At 36.4% G+C, this 21,626-nt stretch overlaps 1 protein-coding gene across 14 annotated transcripts in view, besides 3 other annotated features; it reads right to left on the bottom strand.

Annotated features, from left to right (window-relative positions):
- The window catches only part of ZNG1B (Zn regulated GTPase metalloprotein activator 1B), a 58,514-nt gene extending 38,708 nt beyond the window's left edge, over window positions 1–19,806 (bottom strand). For 9 of the 14 annotated variants that reach the window (NR_138473.1, XR_244814.2, XR_427073.2 and 6 more), the window contains exons 1-6: window positions 19,475–19,806; window positions 16,060–16,146; window positions 13,634–13,730; window positions 12,442–12,533; window positions 4,299–4,358; window positions 2,719–2,756 (exon numbers count right to left, since the gene is read on the bottom strand). Coding sequence is in view for 9 of the 14 variants with exons in the window: in NM_172003.3 (NP_742000.1) it covers window positions 2,719–2,756; window positions 4,299–4,358; window positions 12,442–12,533; window positions 13,634–13,730; window positions 16,060–16,146; window positions 19,475–19,628 (528 nt within the window). In the remaining 5 variants the exon portion in view is untranslated. Of the gene's footprint in view, window positions 1–287; window positions 433–2,718; window positions 2,757–4,298; window positions 4,359–12,441; window positions 12,534–13,633; window positions 13,731–16,059; window positions 16,147–18,379; window positions 18,478–19,474 lie in introns of those variants that run through there. The other 5 variants (NR_138474.1, NM_001330339.1, NM_001330340.1 and 2 more) reach the window with 4 other exon arrangements.
- Window positions 19,710–19,759: an enhancer, noted in NCBI's record as "active region_16421". NCBI's record gives its function as "activates an Ori minimal core promoter by ATAC-STARR-seq in GM12878 lymphoblastoid cells {active_cell/tissue: GM12878}" and the evidence as "EXISTENCE:reporter gene assay evidence [ECO:0000049][PMID:35858748]".
- Window positions 19,850–19,899: an enhancer, noted in NCBI's record as "active region_16420". NCBI's record gives its function as "activates an Ori minimal core promoter by ATAC-STARR-seq in GM12878 lymphoblastoid cells {active_cell/tissue: GM12878}" and the evidence as "EXISTENCE:reporter gene assay evidence [ECO:0000049][PMID:35858748]".
- Window positions 19,920–19,979: an enhancer, noted in NCBI's record as "active region_16419". NCBI's record gives its function as "activates an Ori minimal core promoter by ATAC-STARR-seq in GM12878 lymphoblastoid cells {active_cell/tissue: GM12878}" and the evidence as "EXISTENCE:reporter gene assay evidence [ECO:0000049][PMID:35858748]".

Below are 21,626 nucleotides of genomic sequence, written 5' to 3'. Positions count from 1 at the left end.
AAAAAACTATCTTAAAACCCACTGGCTATGAAAGAACACTGCTGTTGACCAGAGTGGAAATAAATCTAGTGTCAAAGATGTCTGGTGTCATTTTTAAAAAGCAGCAGCAGGAACTATTTCTTTCAAATGGATTGGTTACAGATGTAACACTATTTTAGTTTTTAAAAAATTATTGCATAATGTCAGTCTATTTATTGTTCTGGCCTTTTCCAAGCTAACTGTTTTCTGACTGAATTGTTTCAACAGATTGTGCAATATAACAGAGGAACCAAGAAGAAACCTCTCACTTGACCTTCTCTGGGTAACTTCATTCATTGCTTCTATTGCATTAAATGCTGTCACATTTGTAGAACCGAAAAGAACAATGTCAGTAGCCTGGGTGTCAAGTCCTCAGAATAGAGAGCTGTCATTTTAAGTTGTCCAATTCTTTGCCTATGATTAAAAAATGAATATTTCAGATCAATGGGTGACAATCCCATTAGCATGATACCCCATGATATCAATTACCACTTCAGTTTCAATTTGGCTGGCTGGCCACAGGGTACCATTTCTCAGCTTTACTTGTGATGGGCTGGCTCTGTGAAGCATGACATTCTTAAATTGCTGCCCATTATCCAAGTGTCATTACTTGTACTGCCTCAGAATTCTCTGAATCACAAGCAGCTACTGAGGTCAAGCTTTGCAACCAGAGGAATTGGACAAGTTGGAAAATTCTTTATATCAAAGCAAAGTTATTTATCTGGCATCCGACTTAGAAAATCTAAAGTTTCCATTATCCTGACAGTGTGTCAGTTTTGTGTAGGTATATTGATTTAATAATTTAAGAGGTTTTATCAAGGTAGCAGGAGGTTAAACGTTTACTGTGTTTGCATTATTCAGAATGTTGCTTTGTTTTTTTGGCCTCCATCATGCTGATAATAGATTCTATTTAACTCTTCTCCATACTCAACTATACATATAAAATTATTCCTATAATCATAAAATACATAAACAGTTTGACTTTTAGCATGGCATTTTCAGTCTATCAAAATAAAAAAAAAAACAAAATGTCTTAGCAGTTATCTGTCACATAGGTATATCAAATTTTGTAATAAATTTATGGAAGAGGTAGATTCAAACATGCCTATAATAAACATTCAAAATGAATAATTTGGGGCTTTTTTGCTACCTCCATAAGCATTTTGCAAGAAATATGATTTTCAACAGTCATTGGAATTTTTCTGCGTGAAACTGTAATACTGTATTTGGGATCATTCTTGGATTCTTAAATTATATTCATAAATTCATAAATTGAGATTTTAAACTCTAAAAAAGGAGTTTTCTTCCAAACTTTTCAAATTAGGGCACTCTATCAACGAGGGAGAGAAGGCCCAGTGAAGAGGTATTGGTAGCTATTTGACAAACCTGACATATCCCCTTAGAGCACAATTTCAGCAAAGATTTGGGAAAAAAAAGCAAACTTAAACATTAACAAGTTCAGGCCGGGCGTGGTGGCTCATGCCTGTAATCCCAGCACTTTGGGAGGCCGAGGCGGGTGGATCACTTGAGGTCAGGAGTTCATGACCAGGCTGGTCAACATGGTAAAATCCTGTCTCTACTAAAAATACAAAATTAGCTGGGCATGGTGGTGTGCACCTGTAATCCGATACTCAGGAGGCTGAGACAAGGGAATCGCTTGAACCTGGGAGGTGGAGGTTGCAGTGAGCCAAGATGGTGCCACTGCACTCCAGCCTGGGCAACAGAGTGAGACTCTGTCTCAAAAAAAAAAAAAAAATTAACACGTTCAGATATGAGGTTGGATACAAAACAGACACTAATTTTTAAACACTGAATTTAAACTTCTAAGAAATTACTGCTTTGGGCCCTATCCATATGCTCAGATTGGGAACGGGTCAGTGGGTGGGATGATTTCATTCTCTTCTGCCTTTAGTGGTATTTCACTTGGGAAGCTGAGAAACATCATTTTACTGTATGTAACAACATACTTTTAAAGATCTTACTAAATGCATTTTATAAATTAAACCTCATTTAAATGCATTCTAGGACCTTAGAAGTTAACAAAAACATTCATAGCAGGATGTCTTTTACACTTGATCTTAGCCAAAAGACCAAGAAGCGATGCAAGATGCCTTTTAATGGAGAGAGTCTTCTTACTAATCCTATGTGTATATCCTGATTTTCTTCAATATGTACTTTTTAAATTTTAAGTTCCAGGGTACATGCTCAGGATGTGCAGGTTTGTTACATAGGTAAACGGGTGCCATGGTGGTTTCCTGCACCTATTAACCCATCACCTAGGTCTTCAATATTTTTTAAAAACTCATTTCCAGTGTGTGTTTAATAGTAATTTAACAAGAAAAATAAGATCTCAGATGCTTTATCAAGCTCAGCTTCTTCTATGGAACAGAAAAACTTACCAATATTGGGGTTGAATCCTTGTGAAGAGTTATACATACCAAACTCTATCCTAACCCCATATGCTTATTACAAATTATAATTCCAAATTTTATCACCAAATCAAACTCAGAGTAATAGAAAAGAAATATTTAACACAAACTAATAATTAAAACACAAATTTCACCTATTGTTCAGGATATCTTTTTGAGAAAGGTTTTTGTTAAAGAAAATTTCAGATACAAACATAAAGAAAATTAAACAATCAATCCCCATATTCCCAGCTCTCAATAATGAGCCACTCATAGCAATCTTTCAACTTACTTTTAATCCATATTTTGAATCCACTATAGTTATGATACCTACAAAGGAAAAAACATTTTAATCACTTTTTAAAAAGAATGTTTATTAATATTTGTGCAACCATACTTCAGAATGAAAATTAAAACTAACCTATTTCAGTTCACAAATACTACTCAATAAAACAATGTACTGTTTTTTTCTCTTGCCAGTGCTGCCATTTAATTAAATTCCAGTAATAAGTCAATGCATTTCCTGAGTGGCTAGCACTATTTTAAGGCACTAGAGAAGATATAAAACAAATAAAAATTTTAAATTAAATAAATAAGAAAATAAGATTTCCTTGGCACTGAAAAAGCTTACAATCCAAAATATAAGTCAAATTTCATAACATAGTCAAATGTGATAAGTACATAAGACAGGTTATTTCTAGTTTATTTTCACATAATCAAAATCAAGACTTTTCTTAAGATTTAAATTATTGCCGAAAGAATGAGACATCTTAAGGTATCATTCCTAACATCTCTCATCAAATCCAAATCCAACTCATAAATGTTTTACATAACATATGCTTAAGTTTCCAAACTACCAATTCATTTTGCAATCTCTGAATATATGCTGATAACAAAAGAATGAGTTTAATTATGCCTAAGGAATTCAACCAGTTACCCACCACATATATTAGAGCTCAATGATGGGGCCCAGCTTAATAATTCTTAAATTTCTTAATGATTATTACTTTTGAAAAAGTAAGAAAATTTCGACTGGTTTTTAAAAAGGTGAAAAAGGGAAAGAGAAAGGGAGAAAACATAGTCGCTTAACTAAGAAAGTTTCTAATGTATTTTAAATGAAGGCATATCACTGCCCAAAAGTGTTCAGGTAAATAAAGTAAGGGAGGAGTGTTTAATTCTTATCTTCAAGAGAAAATAAAAGCAAAAATATGATCCTCATATTGCCTGGAGGATTAAAATAAAAGGCTCTAACATTATATTAAGGGCATAAATCAAACAACAGAGGATACAGAAAACCTACAAAGCATTTTTTTTTTAAAGAAAACCTTAGTGGAAGCACTAAATTGGAAGTTGAGTGACATCGAGTTCCACCACTGTCTGGGGTTTTTTAATCTATATGAACAAAGATTTCATCATTAAACTAAAGTGTGAAAAGAACAACAATGCAAGGAATTAAAGTTATAATATGAATGAACAACAATAAGCTTAACCATAAAGATTTTACTAAAAAACAAAAGAGGCAGGGTGTGGTGGCTCACGCCTGTAATCCCAGCACTTTGGGAGGCCGAGGCTGGCGGATCACCTGAAGTCAGGGGTTCAAGACCAGTCAGGCCAACATGGCGAAACCCCGTCTCTACTAAAAATCCAAAAATTAGCCAGGTACGATGGTGCACGCCTGTAGTCCCAGCTACTCGGGAGGCTGAGGCACGAGAATCACTTGAACCCAGGAGGTAAAGGTTGCAGTGAGCCGAGATCATGCCACTGCACTCCATGCACTCCAGTCTGGGCAACAAAGTGAGACTCCGTCTCAGAAAAAAATAAAAAAAAAAACAAAAAACAAGAAAGATAAAAGAAAACTGTTTTTTAACTTACCATCAAGGTAAATATCACTCCCTAATTCAGCATCAACCCAAAACATAGAAGCCACTGCACCTGAAAATATATAATATTCATCAAATAAAAATATTTCTTCACACTGAGAAACATGATTCTATCCATGTTTTAATTTGCCCTGATAAAATTAACAGGTAAACACATATATCTTCTTATGGAAATTATAGTGATAGAAGCTTTCACTATTTATAGCAAAAGGGAGTTACAGTGATAGAACCTTTTACTATTTATACCCATTCCATTTCCATCTCTCTTGTTATTTCCTTTAAAAAAGACCAATTCTAACCACATATAAACAAAACATCATTCTTCTACCGATGCCATAATAATTTAATTAACAGATATTATCAAACAATTTGAGCAGTATGGCTTTGTGCACATCAGACTGATTTTTATTTTCTCACCTCTTTAATATGATAATCATTCAATCATAAATAGTGAATTATCACTCTAAAGGAAAAGGAAAACAAAACATAGATAATTCCAAAATCACTTGCCCAAAAAAAATTTACTTGTAATCTGTGTAGAACTAGAAGTAAAATTATATACTCTATGGCATTACTAATTATTCCTCACACTATTTATTTAGTACTGTATAAAACCTGGGTCTTAGGAAAAATTTTTCCTAAATAATAAATTAAAACTTGCTTTTGACAGAAATTGGTTCAGTACCAAACCACATACCCTGATTAGTATGCCACAACGCAAGAAAAAGAAAACTGACAGCAAGGAAAGTATTTGATTTTTGAAAGCATCACAGGCCCAGTTAGTGACAGGGCTGTCTAAAAGAATGAGTGTAGGAGAAAAACAAGGATAATCAAACTCATTCCAACGTCTAAAGCTGTCCACCTACTCTGCCAAGATGTGGTCCCCCAAGCATCACTCGGTGTCAACAATGAAATACCTGTCAGCTGTTTACAGTGATTACTCATGCAAGATATAGCAAGGGCCACAAGATCTAATGGTTTCCTGATACCTATTGATTTTTTTCCCAAAAGCTTAATAGTTTTCCAATTTGACTCAAATAGGATTTGTGAGTAACAGGGGCTGAATCAATGTCCGTTCTTTTCAGGGAAATTACTTTACCATGACAATTATTTAACTTAGAACTGGAGAGTGTCAGTCTCCAAAACGGGAAACAACTGAATTGCCAATAAGAATTTTGTTCACTTTCTTGGCTAAAACATGATTTTAATTAATGAGGGGGAAAATTAAATCTACTGTATCACTACTCCAAACAATAAGTCATTTAAAAAAGCATGAATTTTTTCACTCAGTAAAATATCTAACATACATAAATCATTTTGTAATTTTTAAAAATTCATTGATTTTTATTCCAATAAATAGTTTACAAATCCTACTGTTAATATTTGCCTCTTAAGTTGAAATGTAAGAGTATATTAATGCTTTATTCTAAAACTGGTATTTATCTTTGATATAATACTTGCCAGACTACATGAGAAAGATCTATTTAAAATTTGGATGTAGGTATTTAGGAGGAGTAAAGATGAATGAACAACATTGATCAGTGGCTCTCAAACCAGGGTGCTTTTCTCCCCAGGGAATATTTGGCAATGTCTGAAGATGTTTTTGGTTGTCTTAACTAGGGGAATGCTACTGGCATCTAGTGGGTAGAAGCCAGGGATGTTGTTAAATATCCTACTCTGCACAGGGCAACCCCCTCACAACAAATAATTATCCAACCCAAAATGTTATTTGTGCTGACACTGAGAAAACCTGAACTACATTTTAGAATCTCCCTTCTTCAAAATCTAATAAAACAAAAAATAAAAATAAAAAATAAAACAAAAAGGCCAACATTTTATTAGCAGCAACCAAATATAAAAGGGCCTGCCATAAATTTTGAAGACTGATAGTCAAAATAAGAAACAAAGTTATATGTGATTGATGGTCATTCCCAACTCTACCCCTACCTCCAATAAGAGGTTGTAGGGAAATAGTTTACAAAATCCTAAACACTTACCAGAAATACACTCCAAAATGGCAAAAAGTAGAGCCGAGGAATGAATAAGCAACACAAGGAAAAGTCAACAAAAAAATTTCAAGAGTGAGTTTTAACCATCTCCTTGCTTTGGGAAGGAGAAGGTCAGGTCACATTCTAGGGCTCAGAACAAAGAGAAATGAGAGGTCTGAGGTCGAATGATGTCCCCATACAAGGCAAAGGAATTTTATTCATAAGCAGTTGGGCAGACCCAAGAGTGAAATACTTGGTACTTCAAGAGAGCAGAGCCTAAAAGCCACATTGCCCCATTTGGCTCTCTGAATCACCACTTTTCCCTTCTCTTTCCCTCCACTCCAACAATATACAGCTTTCAAACTAGGGCTCAGGAGAAAAACAAACTTGGGTAAGGAGAGTGGAGTATTAAAAATATTTCCCATCAGCACCACATAGAAGTTCTCCCACATCAAGAAGAAACATGTATGCATATGTATTACAGCCTGACAAAAAGAAACACACACATACAGGGAACAAAAAGCAAGAAAGAACACAAAATGAAGAAATGAATAGGGCACACAAGTGGCAAAGAACCCATTCTGGAAGGATACATAACCCAATAAAAACTAAAGAAAATTCCCAACAACTTCATCATAATGAAGAACTTGAAAACAATACAACCTTATAATAAACAAGCTCAAAAGCAAGAAGAAGCAGAATAAGATGAAAATGCGTTTGTAGTGCTAAAGAAACTTAGAGCCTATATAACACAATGACTTAACCAATTAATTCATTTAAAATATCAAAAACAGGACAGACACTGGAGAAAACAGAATTATTGACAAAAAGAAAGGCTTCAGATGATCACAGTAAATGCAAAGGTAAAAGACAAATCAAAGCAATTAGAATACATACGAACAACAAAAGAAAATTCAGTATTAAAAAAACTGGCGTCATGAAGTAGAGGATCTAATAATTTGACCAAAAAAAAGTATTCATGGTAATAAACAAGGAAAATGTTCTTAGAAGAACTAAGGGCATATTATAATTTAGGGAAAAATGATTATAAGTGACACTTAGATATACCTTGTTTATATTACTGAATTTCAAAAATAAAGAAGAAAACTCTCAGGCATTTTAGATTTGAAAAAAAAAAAGTGCCTTCAAGGAGGTAGGGAGAAAAATCAGACTTTTCTACAGTAACACTAGATGTCCCAAAATAATAAAACAGTGACCACAAAGTTCTAATGAAAGTGTTCCCAAACAAGTTATTTTTCAGGAACGAAAGCAATAGACAGACATTCTCAAGCATTAAAGAAAACAGCAAGCATTGAAACTCAGAGACTATAATACTCACAAATTCTTCCTAATAAAAAGAGAAAACATTGGACAAAGAAATCCAGCCAATCAAACACTAGGAGATTATGGAACAACATTTACAAAGTTGAGGGGGAAAAAAGTGTGACTGATAAATTTTATACCTAGCCAAGTAATCCTTCAAGTAATATAAAAACAAAAGACAAATATTTTGAATCAATGAAGTGTATAAGAACCCAAAGAATGCATGCAGTACCTGTAACTTGAAAAGACTGCCTGACAATGAAATTCAATCAGGAGATGGACTAACTCGGGAATGGAGAAGCAACAGTACTGGTAATGAGCACCAAAACTATTAAAACATAGAACTAAAAGAATTATGACAGAACCATGACAACATAAAGAATATGATCAACATGAAACTAGGCCAATTAATATCCTACAATGGCCTCTAAGTGTTCAAGTGAAAGGAACAGTCACCTGTTTCTCACTTTAAATCAAGAGCTAGAAATGATTATGCTTGGTGAGGAAGTTATGTTGAAAGCCAAGATACGCCAAAAGCTAGGTCTCTTGAGCCAGTTAGCTAAGTTGTGAATGCAAAGGAAAAGTTCTTGAAGGAAATTAAAAGTGCTACTCCAGTAAACACACAAATGATAATGAAACAGCCTTATTGCTGATATGAAGTGGTCTGGATAGATGATCAAACAAGCCACAATGTTCCCTTAAGCCAAAGCCTAATTCAGAGCAACCCTAACTCTCTTCAGTTCTATGAAGGCTGAGAGAGGTGAGGAAGCTAGAGAAGAAAAGTTGGAAGGTAGCAGAGGTTGGTTCACAAGATTTAAAGAAAGAAGCCATCTCCATAACACAAAAGTGCAAGGGAAAGCAGCAAATGCTGATATAGAAGCTGTAGTAAACTACCTAGAAGATGTAGCTAACATCATTCATGAAAGTAGCTACACTAAGCAACAGACTTATTTTTTATTTATTTATTTATTTATTTTGAGATGGAGTCTCGCTCTGTCACCCAGGCTGGAGTGCAATGTGCAATCTCAGCTTACAGCCACCTCCGTCTCCCGGGTTCAAGCCATTCTCCCGCCTCAGCCTCCCAAGTAACTGGGATTACAGGCTCCCACCACCAAGCCAGGCTAATTTTTGGTATTTTTAGCCGAGATGGGGTTTCACTATGTTGGCCAGGCTGGTCTTGAACTCCTGAACTCGTTATCTGCCCACCTCGGCCTCCCAAAGTGCTGAGATTACAGGCATGAGCCACCGAGCCCGGCCAGCAACAGATTTTTAATGGAGATGAAATGGCCTCCTTTTGGAAGAAGATGCCATTTAGGACTTTCATAGCTATAGAGAAGTCAATGCCTGGCTTCAAAGATTCAAAGGACAGGCTGACTCTCTTGTTAGAGGCTAAAGCAGCTGGTGACTTCAAGTTGAAGCCAATAATCATTTACCATCCTGAAAATTCTAGGGCCATTAAGAATTATGCTAAATCTCCTCTGCCTGTTTTCTATAAATAATAAAGCCTAGATGACAGCACATCTGTTTACAGCATGGTTTATTTTAAGCCCACCATTGAGATCTACTGCTTAGAAAAGAAAAGATTCCTTCAAAATATTATTGCTCATTGACAACGCACCTGATCACCCAAGAGCTGTGATGGAGATGTACAAGGAGATTAATGTTGTTTTCATGCCTGCTAACACAACATCCATTCTGCAGCCCACTGATCAAGGAGTAACTTTGACTTTTAAGTCTTATTTAAGAAATATATTTCATAAGGCTATAGCTACCATAGACAGTGATTCCTCTGATGGATCTGGGCAAACTAAATTGAAAACCTTCTGGAAAGGATTCATCATTCTAGATGCCATTAAGAACATTTGTGATTCATGGGAGATCAAAGTATCAACATGAATAGAGTATCAACATGAATAGGAGTTTGAAAGATGATTCCAGCCCTCACAGATGACTTTGAGGGATTCCAGACTTCAATGGAGGAAATAACTGCAGATGTGGTGGAAACAGTAAGAGAACTAGAATTAGAAGGGGAGTCTGAAGATGTGACTCAATTCCTGCAATCTCATAAGAAAACTTTAACTAATGAGAAGTTGTTTCTTATGGACGGGAAAAGAACGTGGTTTCTTGAGATGGAATCTACTCCTGGTGAAGATGCTATGAACACTGTCAAAATGACAACAAAGGATTTAAAATATGACAGAAGCTTAATTGATAAAGCAGGGTTTGAGAGGACTGACTCCAATTTTGAAAGAAGTCATACTGTGGGTAAAATGCTATCAAATAGCATCATGTGCTATAGAGACATCTTTTATGAAAGGGAGAGTCAACTAATGCAGCAAACTTCATTATTATCTTATGAAATTGCGATAGCCACCCCAACCTTCAGTAACTACTACCCTGATTGGTCAGCACCCATCAACATTGTGGCAAGACCCTCTACCAGCAAAAAGATTATGACTTGCTGAAAGCTGAGATGATTGTTAGCATTTTTTAGCAATAAATATTTTTAATTAAGGTATGTATGTTTTTTAGACAATTCTATTACACATTTTATAGACTACAGTATAGTATAAACACAGCTTTTTTTTTTTTTTTTAAGAAATGGGGTCTCATGCTGTCATCCAGGCTGGAGTGCAGTGGTGCAATCATGACTCACTGCAGCCTCAAACTCCTGAGCTCAAGTGATCCTCCCAAGTAGCTGGGACTACAGGCCTGTGACATCACACCCGGCCAAAACGCATAACTTTTATATGCAATGGGAAACAAAAAAATGTGTGTGACTCACTCTATTGTGATATTCAGTTTACTGCAGTGATATGGAACTAAGCCCACAATATCCCTGCGGTATGGCTGTACAGTATAAGAATCACCTGAAGGGCTTATTAAAAACAGCTTGCTTGACCCCCTCCCTTAGAGATTCCGATTCAGTAGATCTGGGTTGGTCAAGAATTTGCCTTTCTAACAAGCTCCCAGATGAGGCTGAGGCTGCCATTCAACATACTACCAAGTAGCACTGGCATAGAGAGATCCCTGGAATAAAATTTACCTACTTGTGTGTGTGTGTATGAATGTGTGTGTGTGTATGAATGTGTGTGTGTGTGTGTGTGCGTGTGCATGTGCGTGTGTGTGTGTGTGTATACAGTCTTGCTCTGTTGCCTGGGCTGGAGTGCAGTGGCGTGATCTCGGCTCACCGCAACCTCCGCCTCCCAGCTTTGAAGTGATTCTCATGCCTTAGCCTCCTGAGTAGCTGGGATTATGGGGTGCGCCACAACGCCTGGCTAGTTTTTGAATTTTCAGTAGAGACTGGATTTCACCATGTTGGCTAGGCTGGTCTTGAACTCCTGGCCTCAAGGGATCCACCTGCCTCAGCCTTCCAAAGTGCTGGGATTACAGGCATGAGCCACCATGCCCAGCCCCTACTTGTATATCACAATAGTGAGATGATTACTTTTCAACTTTCTTCTTTGTATTTTTTAGGTATTTAAATTTTTTTACAATGAATGTTCCATCTTTACCCAAACAATAAAATCTTTATTGTAAAGAAAGTTAGAAGCAAGAAACATTAAGATTTTTTATAACTACAATTTGTATAAAAGCTTTCTCTGTGATCTTTAGTTTTTCTTTCTTCCTCTGAAAAGCTGAATCGTGTTTAATTAAACTCTCAAAAGTATCAAGTTTTTGTCTATAAAATGGCAAAACTGGCTATGATGAAATAAACTGATATTTGCTATTTCTAATAAAAGCATACAATATATTTTTCTTTCTTACCAGATTCAAATATTTAACACCAACATATTAGTCCAAGTCCTATCATCAGTCAGATTTATCAGAAAGGTATGAAAACCCATGCCTACTATAAGGACCAAAATAGCCTAATTCAATACTACTTTGAAAACATGGGGATGATGTTATTATGTAATTGTTTTAATTACAATAACCACGGATCACATTTGAACTCTCAGGATACTTCAATATTTCTTTTGGACAACTATGACCTGTTTAGTAAATTACCCCCAAATACTTTAATATAGTTTTACAAATCGCCCCAATGCCAGAGACCCAGATCAAAAAAAAAAAAAAAAATAATGGTATGGGTCAGATTCACAGATTCACAGAATAAGCACTAACTTTTATGCAAACTGAAAATAAAGATTTTATCTAAAAGTTATTTGGGGAAAATAAGCAGACTTTATCAAGAATTAGAGCTTGGTAAGAAGGTAACAGAAACCCATTGTTAGAAACAGGTTGACTCTGTGTAGCTTTCCATAGTAGAGTTCAGAGTTCCCTGTCATGATTCCCTTATCAATGCAGTGTAATAACTACTTACACAGCACTTACATTGTATTAGGTATTATAAGTAATCTACAGATGATTTAAAGTATATGGGAGGATGTGCATAGGTTATAGGCAAATACTACACCATTTTATGTAAGGGACTTGAACATTAATAGATTTTGGTATCCTCAGAGGTTCCGGAACTAATACCCCATGGATGCCAAGGGACAACTGTACTTAGAGGTAGAACGTCTCTGCTCTTCCTACATGTCCTTATTTTTAACAACTTCTGTTCTTACAAATAATCCTAAGTCAATCAATAAAACTTCAAATTCTATTAACAGCTTAAAAGTACCAAGAAATACTCCGTTCATTCATTCAACTGCCAAAGAAAATGACAACCGAGTACTTTTCCTCTTTTAAACCAAAAAAAGTTTTTGGTTTAATACTAACAAAAGCTTTAATCCTCATGTTAGATATTCCTCTAATACATCTATTTACAGTATATCACAGAACTATATTCTGGTTATTAACAACCTCACTTCTTACCTGGGTCTGCCAATCCAGTGGTCTCTAACAGTATGTAATCAAATTTCCCCTTCTTTTGCATCAAATTCTCAATAGCTCTAAGGCCATTGTCCCTGGAGAATACCAAAACATCATTTACAGTTAATTACCTAAATATTTTGAAGTGATTATTATAAACACTTTAAAATATATTCAACAACCCAAGACAAAAGTACCCTTAGGAATGTGAAAATTTAACTCACTTCTAACCTTCTAACAAAATGTCCGTCCCATATTTACCAGTGAGAAAACAATAGATGCATATATATAATAGGTAAAAAGAAATCATATACATAATAATACTTTATTAAAATTAAAAGCAGAGGAAACTTTATCTGACCAAGTATCTTTTTATAGCTTTATGAAATTTTTAAAAACCAACATACAAAATAATGATAAAATTTATTAACTATAGTAGTTTAATATAATAGCTAAAGGGACACTGATATTAAACACCATATAATTCTATTTTACATTAGGATGCAAGGTTTTAATTTCCTTTTTTCTTATTTTATCAAAAGTGAAGGAAAATCCTTAATAGATTATATTTTGGTTGTTCAAGAAAGTCTGTTATAATTTTATCCTTGCCAAAACATTTGACACAAAGTCAAATACCTAAGGGAGTAAATGATGCCGAAGAGATTTAATTCACTAGAATACACAAAATTAACAGTACAAGTAGTCATTTTTATAATTCATTCAACAAATATTTGAGTGCTACTATGTGTTGGGTAACTCTTCTAGGGTCTATGGTAGACTAGTGAACACTGTCCTTGAAAACTTAACTAGTAGAACATAATGTAAGGTTTTTCTCTTTTTTGATAGTCATTTATTTTTTTTATAAGGTTGAACACTTAGAAATATGACCAATGACAGATTAAATTCAGAATAATCATTTTTTACATATGAGACTTTCATGCACTAGAGATTAAATAAGCCCTGACATCAAAAGCAATAAAAACTCAATAAAAGGACCAAAACATTAGAGCAGATAGAAAAGACAGCAAGAAACACTTTAAGAAAATGCTTCCTAATAAGTTTATTTTCTATTTGTTTGAAAATACAATGAAGCAAACTGTGTAAATTCAGTTAAATTACTCAAGAAAATTAAAGCTGGAAATATAATCAATAAACATTTCTAGTAAACCATGTACACAGTAAACACATTCCTCACTTCACTGAACAGCAGAGGCAACCGTTTCTAAGTTCCAGCCACTCTTCATAGAGCTCTCCACCTTGGCTGACAGCTAAGGATTTCTCCAGCGCACTTCCTAGAATAATTAACAAACAGCACTCTTTAGCTTATGTCCATTAGCCAACAAAAAACAAAGATGAGGATAACTCAATAATGGAGATCTTAAAGCAGAAACTGCATTTTATAACTTATATTCTTTCATTTTATTCATGCAGCCTCGATATCTAAATTACAGTACACTACATTATGTTAGCTTTTATTTAAGATGACTTAAGCCCTGAAAAAGACACATCCTAAACTGATAAACATACCTACTTCCTCCTTAGGCCTCTTACTTGGCCACCCCCATTTCTTAATAAAGTAGCTATCTTGAAGGCATTTTTTTCTTGTCCAGGGTAAACTTTCTAAATAGACTAGTATGTTTTATATACTGGATTTTGTATGCCCTTCAACCTCTTAAGAGACTGCCTTATCTATCTTTTTCTTTTCATTCTTCTTCTAAATTGTTTCTGTTAGACAAACTGCTGAATATTCCCAATGAGTAAAAACCCTAGTTCATCTTGAGGAAGGTTTTTGGCCAGTGTACCATGTGCTCATTTAAAAATTAAACTTACAGGGAGGCCAAGGCGGGCGGATCACGAGGTCAGGAGATCGAGACCATCCTCGCTAACACAATGAAACCTCATCTCTACTAAAATTACAAAAAATTAGCCAGGTGTGGTAGCGGGCGCCTGTAGTCCCAGCTACTCAGGCGGCTGAGGCAGGAGAATGGCGTGAACCCGGGAGGCGGAGGTTGCAGTGACCCGAGACTGTGCCACTGCACTCCAGCCTGGGCAACACAGCGAGACTCCATCTCAAAAAAAAAAAAAACCTAAACTTTTAGTCAAATTCACATATTTTCCTAGCAATACTTACTTAAGAAAGAATAAACTATATTTGAAATGCTTGTTATCTATAAGAATTATTTTAAATGTTTTACTTTTCCTCTAATAAAGAAATATACCAAACGGTGAAGTTCTAAAAGCCCACTAAGCAAATGAGCTCCCATAAAATCGAGTAGTTTTACACTTACGTATTTTTTATATTTCAGCTAGGTATTAATAAAGAGCTTCTAAAGAGGTTGCTACAGAATTCGGACTATATACAGAACATTAAGGAAACATGAAGAAAAGTATTGAGAATGCTGTGAAAAATAAAATTGCGAAAATGATCCAGGAAAAAATAAAGAAAATAGTAAGAATAAATGTAATCAGTGTGCAATAGGTTATTTAATAAGATGATAAAAAAACAGTCTGTTATTAGAAATCTCAGGATTTTTGCCTAAAAAGCACTTTTCTCTTTAGTTTATTAAAACCAGAAATCGAATATAACTGGCTTCCCATCCTGTTCATAAAACCTAGCTCTTTTACTTTTTACAACTGAAAAAAAATAGTACATTTTAAAAGAAATCATTTAATAGATATTGTTTTTTGGCTAGAAGTGAGCTTTGATTACAATTCATACTTATGAAGAAAAACTTCTATAAAGATAACAGAAGTATTGTGTCTAGAGCTATTTTTTTGACTACAGTTTAATATTTCAGTTGAGAAGTTAAGCACACTTATTTTCACAGATAACTTAAAATACATGAGGATAAAGACCATATGTTTACCTTTATTTTTAAAATATTGAGTTTTAACTGCATTGCAGATAATAAACATTAAACAAAGTTAACTAATAACAGAAGCATTTTCAAGTATTTTTCATGAGTTGCAATAGAGTCCATACAAAAGTGCCTTCCTAATTCCTAAAAAAAACATTTTTTGGCCAGGCATGGTGCCTCATGCCTGTAATCCCAGCAACTTTGGGAGGCCGAGGCAGGTGGATCACAAGGCCAGGAGCTCAAGACCATCCTGGCCAACATGGTGAAACCCTGTCTCTACTAAAAATACAAAAATTATCTGGGCATGGTGGCGCACGCCTGTAGTCCCAGCTACTCGGGAGGCTGAGGCAGGAGAATCACTTTAACCCAGGAGACAGAGGTGGCAGTGAGCTGAGATTGCACCACTGCACTCCAGCCTGGCGACAGAGAGAGACTCCATCTCAAAAAAAATAAAATAAAATAAAAAATAAACGTTTTTTCATATGTCTAGATTTTTACTTCTGGAGTCATTTATTTCATGTAAAAATGTAGTTTAATTCTGTTAATAAGAATTCCAAAGTTATACAAAATAAAATTTTATTAAAACTAATTTCAGTATCTCAACCCATATAAATCTTAACAGAAATTAATCCAACTTTTCTAAAGCTATCCACATCAATACAATACCTTGCATTTTCATTTTTAAATATGGAATAGCAATTCACCAGAGGAATAAACAGTCACACAAAATCTTGCAACATGACATTTATTGAACTTTACTTACCTTCCCCAAATTCATTTAAAATGACCGCTACTCTTTTACTATGTTGCTCTGTCAAAATATAGTTCAGAAGTGTTGTCTTCCCAGCACCTATAAAACATATTTTTTGTAAATAAAAAAATTCAAAATAATTTTAAAGATACAAAAAACATATAAAGAATCCTAACGTTTTTGAGAATTTGCGTGCTATTTTTCATATATTATTTTAGTATAGAATATCCTAGAGGATAAGATTAAAGCATCCTTTGAAACCTGTTGCAAAATACTTTATGTAGACATAAAATTTTATAAATATTTACAAACACTCCTACAAGTTGAAACAGTTTCTTCAACCTAGCCTAACCTTCCCTAAAATTTACACACAATCTTTTATTTATAATGACCTTTTATTTCAACATTAACAAGACGCAACTTCAGGCTGACTATATGGCTACTTATAGTATGCTTTAAACAATCTATAAAAGTTTTTATGAAATGGGGAATAGAGCCAGGTAGTGTCAACAATGGACAGAATGTTCAGTAAGATAAATTCATAAAGCTATACCAACTTTATCCAGCAGGTGGCATATAAAACCCAATATGTCAATCTCCAGTAGAAAAAAAATAGTCTTGTGAACCGTACACACTAAAATTCATAGAGGAAAAAAAGAAAATCCTAACTGCATAGTATTGTAGTTCAATTGTATGACTATATCATTTCTTTATCTTTTTTTTTTGTTGGACATTTGGTTTGTTTCCAGTGTTTTACTATTACAGTGCTGCTAAAAACTTTTACATGTAGGCTATACATGTCTTCTGAAATACATTAAGTTTTCTAGTATATAACTAGGAAGATTTTACAGAGTATTAGGGTATTAATATCTTTTAGGTCATATTCCTTTCAAAGCTTTTTAAGAGATGAAGGCTTATATTTAGAGTACTTTAGGAAGCTCAACATCACAAAAATATGAAGTATAGAATGGGAGAGACTTAGGGCAATGAGGAAAATCTTAAAACCAGTCCAAGCCTGAGACAGAGGCCCTGAACATGAGTGTTTCACAGGGCAGTGATGTGAAAACTGAAAGGAAAGGGTGAATGTAAGAAATCTTCTAAGAGAAGATTTACTAGGGCTTTTTAACCATATTATGAAAAAAAAAACACTTTAAGACATAGCTCATTCATTCGAAGGTTTCTAATACGTTACAGATTTATGCTGAGCCTTGGTGAAAAAGTGAACAAGATAGTCTCTGCCTTCATAGAGCTTAGAAATATTAAGGGGGCCGGGCGCGGTGGCTCACGCCTGTAATCCCAGCACTTTGGGAGGCCGAGGCGGGCGGATCACGAGGTCAGGAGATCGAGACCATCCCGGCTAAAACGGTGAAACCCCGTCTCTACTAAAAATACAAAAAATTAGCCGGGCGTAGTGGCGGGCGCCTGTAGTCCCAGCTACTTGGGAGGCTGAGGCAGGAGAATGGCGTGAACCCGGCAGGCGGAGCTTGCAGTGAGCCGAGATCCCGCCACTGCACTCCAGCCTGGGCGACAGAGCGAGACTCCGTCTCAAAAAAAAAAAAAAAAAAAAAAAAAAAATTAAGGGAAGGGGGGAATGGAGGGGAATTCAGTGAATAAGGAGGCAATTATGTCACAGGGTGACATATTCAATAGGAGATGCACAAAATGCTATGGAGAACCTAAGAGGGACATCTAGCCAGAGGAGTCACAGTAAAAAAGTACCTATTCCAAGGGGCTAAAACACTTGGCACCTTTGAAGTAACATTAGTTCATTGTGCGGGGCCAATTTGGCAGGCTGGAAAGGTTGGCAAGATCCAGATGCTACAGGTCCTTGTAATTCATGTTAAGGAATTTGGATTTTAACCCATAGGGATGCCACTGAAAGGTGTGACGCAGTCGGATTGACATTTATAAAGATCATTAAGGCTAACATGCAACGAATAAATTAAAGGGCAGCAAGACTCCAGATTAGTCAGGAGGCTTTTAGAGTATTACAAATGGTTGGGATCACAGAAGCAGGATTTGGGGGGATGGTAACAGACGAAGTTTCAGACATGTTAAGTTTTAAGTTGTAGGACATCAAAATAGAAATTACACAGGTGTGTAGCTAAAGATGGACAAAGGGGGAAGGAGGAGGGAGCCTTAAAAAGAAGCCAGAGAAGCAGGTGGAAAAATCAGAAGAAAAATGTAATAGAAGCCAAAAGAACAGTGTTTCAGAAAGGGAAAATGGTCAGGGATAGGAGTGAAACTATCCCTAGATTCAGCAACAAGGTTGCTGGTATTAATTCTCACTCCTGAGCTTCAGATCATTTTCTCCAGTGATCTACTGACCTACCAGTGAGCAATACGGGAAAGGCCCGAGCGGCACGTTTGAAATACATTGTTTTGGACAAGAAATTTGTTCATCTTCTCAGCAGAGCAGCCTCTGAATAACTGTGGGGAAACGCCAAAAATAAATTCCTTTATAAAATTACTTCCGAGCAAAAAACGGGAATAAACTTACAGTCTACAAAGTTTTTTAAAAAACAAAAGCAGTTATTTCTTATTTTTACATAAAAGGTCACGAAGTGGCCCAAGTCTGTACCTGTCTCTAGCAACAACTAGGAATATTATTTCCCGGAAACAGTATCATTTTATTTACATTTCTTAACTTTTTCCAAACTTCTAATACAGTCATATATTTGTTCTAGCCCTTCTATTTAACTGTAAGGTTTAAAAATATATTTCTCAAACTTTTCCAGTAAGAAACTTCTAGTGTAAGTGCATAAACCGCCCTTCACGAAACTACCAAGTTCACAAACTTGTGGTTTCGAGTATCCCTGTACACTCTAAACGTTCTTAGTTTGAGAAATAGTCTTGGAGGACAGAGATTTTATTCTTACTTCCTACGCAGTGGTTTACAAACAGACCTCAAAAAAAAAGTGTTTAAGATAGGAGCGCTCCCTGCCAACTGGCTGGAGGACTTTGGCTCGTGGGGAAGGGGAATCTACTGACGAAAGCCCCACGTGTCGGGCATTTTACAGACGGGACATCCTTTAATGGCAACAGGTAGGTGGTTCCGGCCCTGTTTCACAGGTGACAGGTATTTCTCCATTTTCAGGTGAGGTAGATGAGCGTCAGGAAGGTAAGATAACTTGGTAGGAGGTCACAGAGACAATCAGGGGGGCGTGTCTTAGCGTCAAAGCCTTGTTTCAAAGGCTAACTTTCCATCTCACTTGAGAAATGGGAATCTAACGCAGAGGGGGCCGGGCATCATTAACTCCCAAGATGAGAGGCAACCCATACGAGAAGCAAGTGACCCAGCCCCTACCTCGAAGACATTTGCTCTTGATCATGAGGCCCCAATGCCTCAGGAGAAGAGGCACCGGCAGCCCGCAAAATCCCATGACACCAGAGGTCACGCCATTTTGTGACTGGGATGGTTAGTTACCTAAATACCCGGTGATAATTGTGACTGGGATCTTGGCGCCGAGGCCAGACTTTTCCTCCTCCTCGCTTTGCGTCGTCTCCATGGGAACCAATTCAGGACAATCCTCCTCCGCAGGATCCTCCTCCTCATCCGCAGATCCAACAGCCGGTAACATTCCGGCCTACAGCACGTCCCTACCTCAGCTGAACCGCTGGGACCAACACGCCGTACCGCAGCCGCGCACGCCCAGCACGCCACTCCCGGCCTGCCCGGGGCCTGACGTCATCACATCGCGACGCTCGCTGATCCCGCCCGGATTACCTGGGCTCTGGACGAGAAGCGCCTCGTCCCTTAGCCACACCCCCCGGGGAGGTGGGCTCTCCCCGACGACAGCTGGACACGCCCCTGGGCGTGTTCTGTGAACCTGAGCGACGCTGCGGAGAGTCCTTAGGGCGCACTAACCACCTGTCTGAAGGTGTCACTGGCGCCTAGAGCCTTAATAAGCTACTGGCTGTAGGTAGAGCTGAGGCCAGCCTGCTGGAAATCTGGAGTGGGTAGCCTGACCTAACCAGTTCCCACAGGGCATAGATTTTATCAACTTGATTTTTTAGTCTCGTTAAAAGAAAAAGTTTTAATTCATAGGGGAAAGAATGGAAGGTTATAACATTACAATTTTAATTGTAATTTTTATACCTGAAGGATAACCAGTGACAATTTTTTCTTTTTTTATTATTACATATTATATATGTAATTCCAAATTTTTAGTATTCATGCATCACTTTTATTTACTTTTTTCTCATTATTTATTTGGACCTCAGGTAACCTAAGTTCATTAATCGTATTTGCTGGTGCATGACACTCTCATCACTAATCCATAGATAGCCCTTCTTTCTAATATAAATTTATAGTGAACTCCTTTGACCTCATTCCTAACCTAAAAGCATTACCAGTAAGTTACACGTACCTATGTGCACCGCCCCTGCTTCCAATCCACAGCCTGCCCCATAAGATAGTAACAACAGTCATGAATTGGTTCTGGATTGCTGATCATTCCCTTTTAGTTTTATCACATATCCCACGTATGTACTTACAGAATATGTTGTTTAATTTTGGGTGTTTTTGAGCTTCATAAAATTATCCATATAATATATAAACTCCTGAGGCTTGCTATATTTTTCAGCATCACTGCTGTCTTGTATTCTATTGTGTGGCTACACGGCAATTTATTCATTTCCTCTCAATTGTTCCAGGTTTTGCTCTTATGAACAGGGCTGCTATGAACATTTTTCCTGACATATGTGTGTGCAACTTCCTCTTGAGTGTCTGTGTAAGAGCTGAATTGCTGGGTCCTAGATTATTCAAATGTTTTACTTCACAAGAAAATGCACAATTATTTTTCAAAATGTTTGTACAAATTGATACATTTTCCCAGCAAATTATAAGAGATCTCATTGGTCTGTTATGTCAATATTATCAGGCATGCATTTTTCACCAATCAATTGAGTACAAAAGAAGACTTCATTGTGATCTTCATTTGCATTTCCTTGATTACTAACAAGGTTGAGAATCTTTTCATGTGTTTTGGCAATATTTAATTCTTAGAATGACCCTGTAGAGTGTTATCCCTCTTTCAAACATGAGGCACCAAGAGTTAAGTTACTTGTCCAGGTTAGGTCATAAAAATCTATCTGATGCACAAGTAGAATGTTTTACTACTATCCTGATGCCAAATAAAAGGTTGACTTTTCCTTCCTTCTCTGAAATTCCCCATATAATATACTGTGTGTATTCCATTAGTTCTACTGATAAGGACATATAACTTGAAAGTATTTATCACGCCTTTTGCAGAACACAGTTAAGACAGAGGGTTTATATTTGTGCAAATGAGTATATTATATTCACACATACACTCGGTCTGAGAAATCAGGTCTTGAATGCTTTGCCAGCTTTGACAATGTAACCATGAACCAGCTGAGGAAGAAATAAGGCAAATACCTTAGGCATGGTGGTTCAGTTCACTTTATTCTACCAAAGGAGAGAAGCTGTGATGGGTAGCCCAAAATAGATAGCTTACGCCCTAAACACAATGGTTCATAAGCTTTTTCGTTTCAGGAATGCTATGAAGTATTGATTTTTTTGGCAACCTAAGGGAAGGAGTAACATTGCACCCACA

This window comes from Homo sapiens, chromosome 2, assembly GCF_000001405.40.
Source record: "Homo sapiens chromosome 2, GRCh38.p14 Primary Assembly".
NCBI lineage: Eukaryota > Metazoa > Chordata > Mammalia > Primates > Hominidae > Homo > Homo sapiens.
This window is presented reverse-complemented; position numbering and strand designations above follow the sequence as displayed.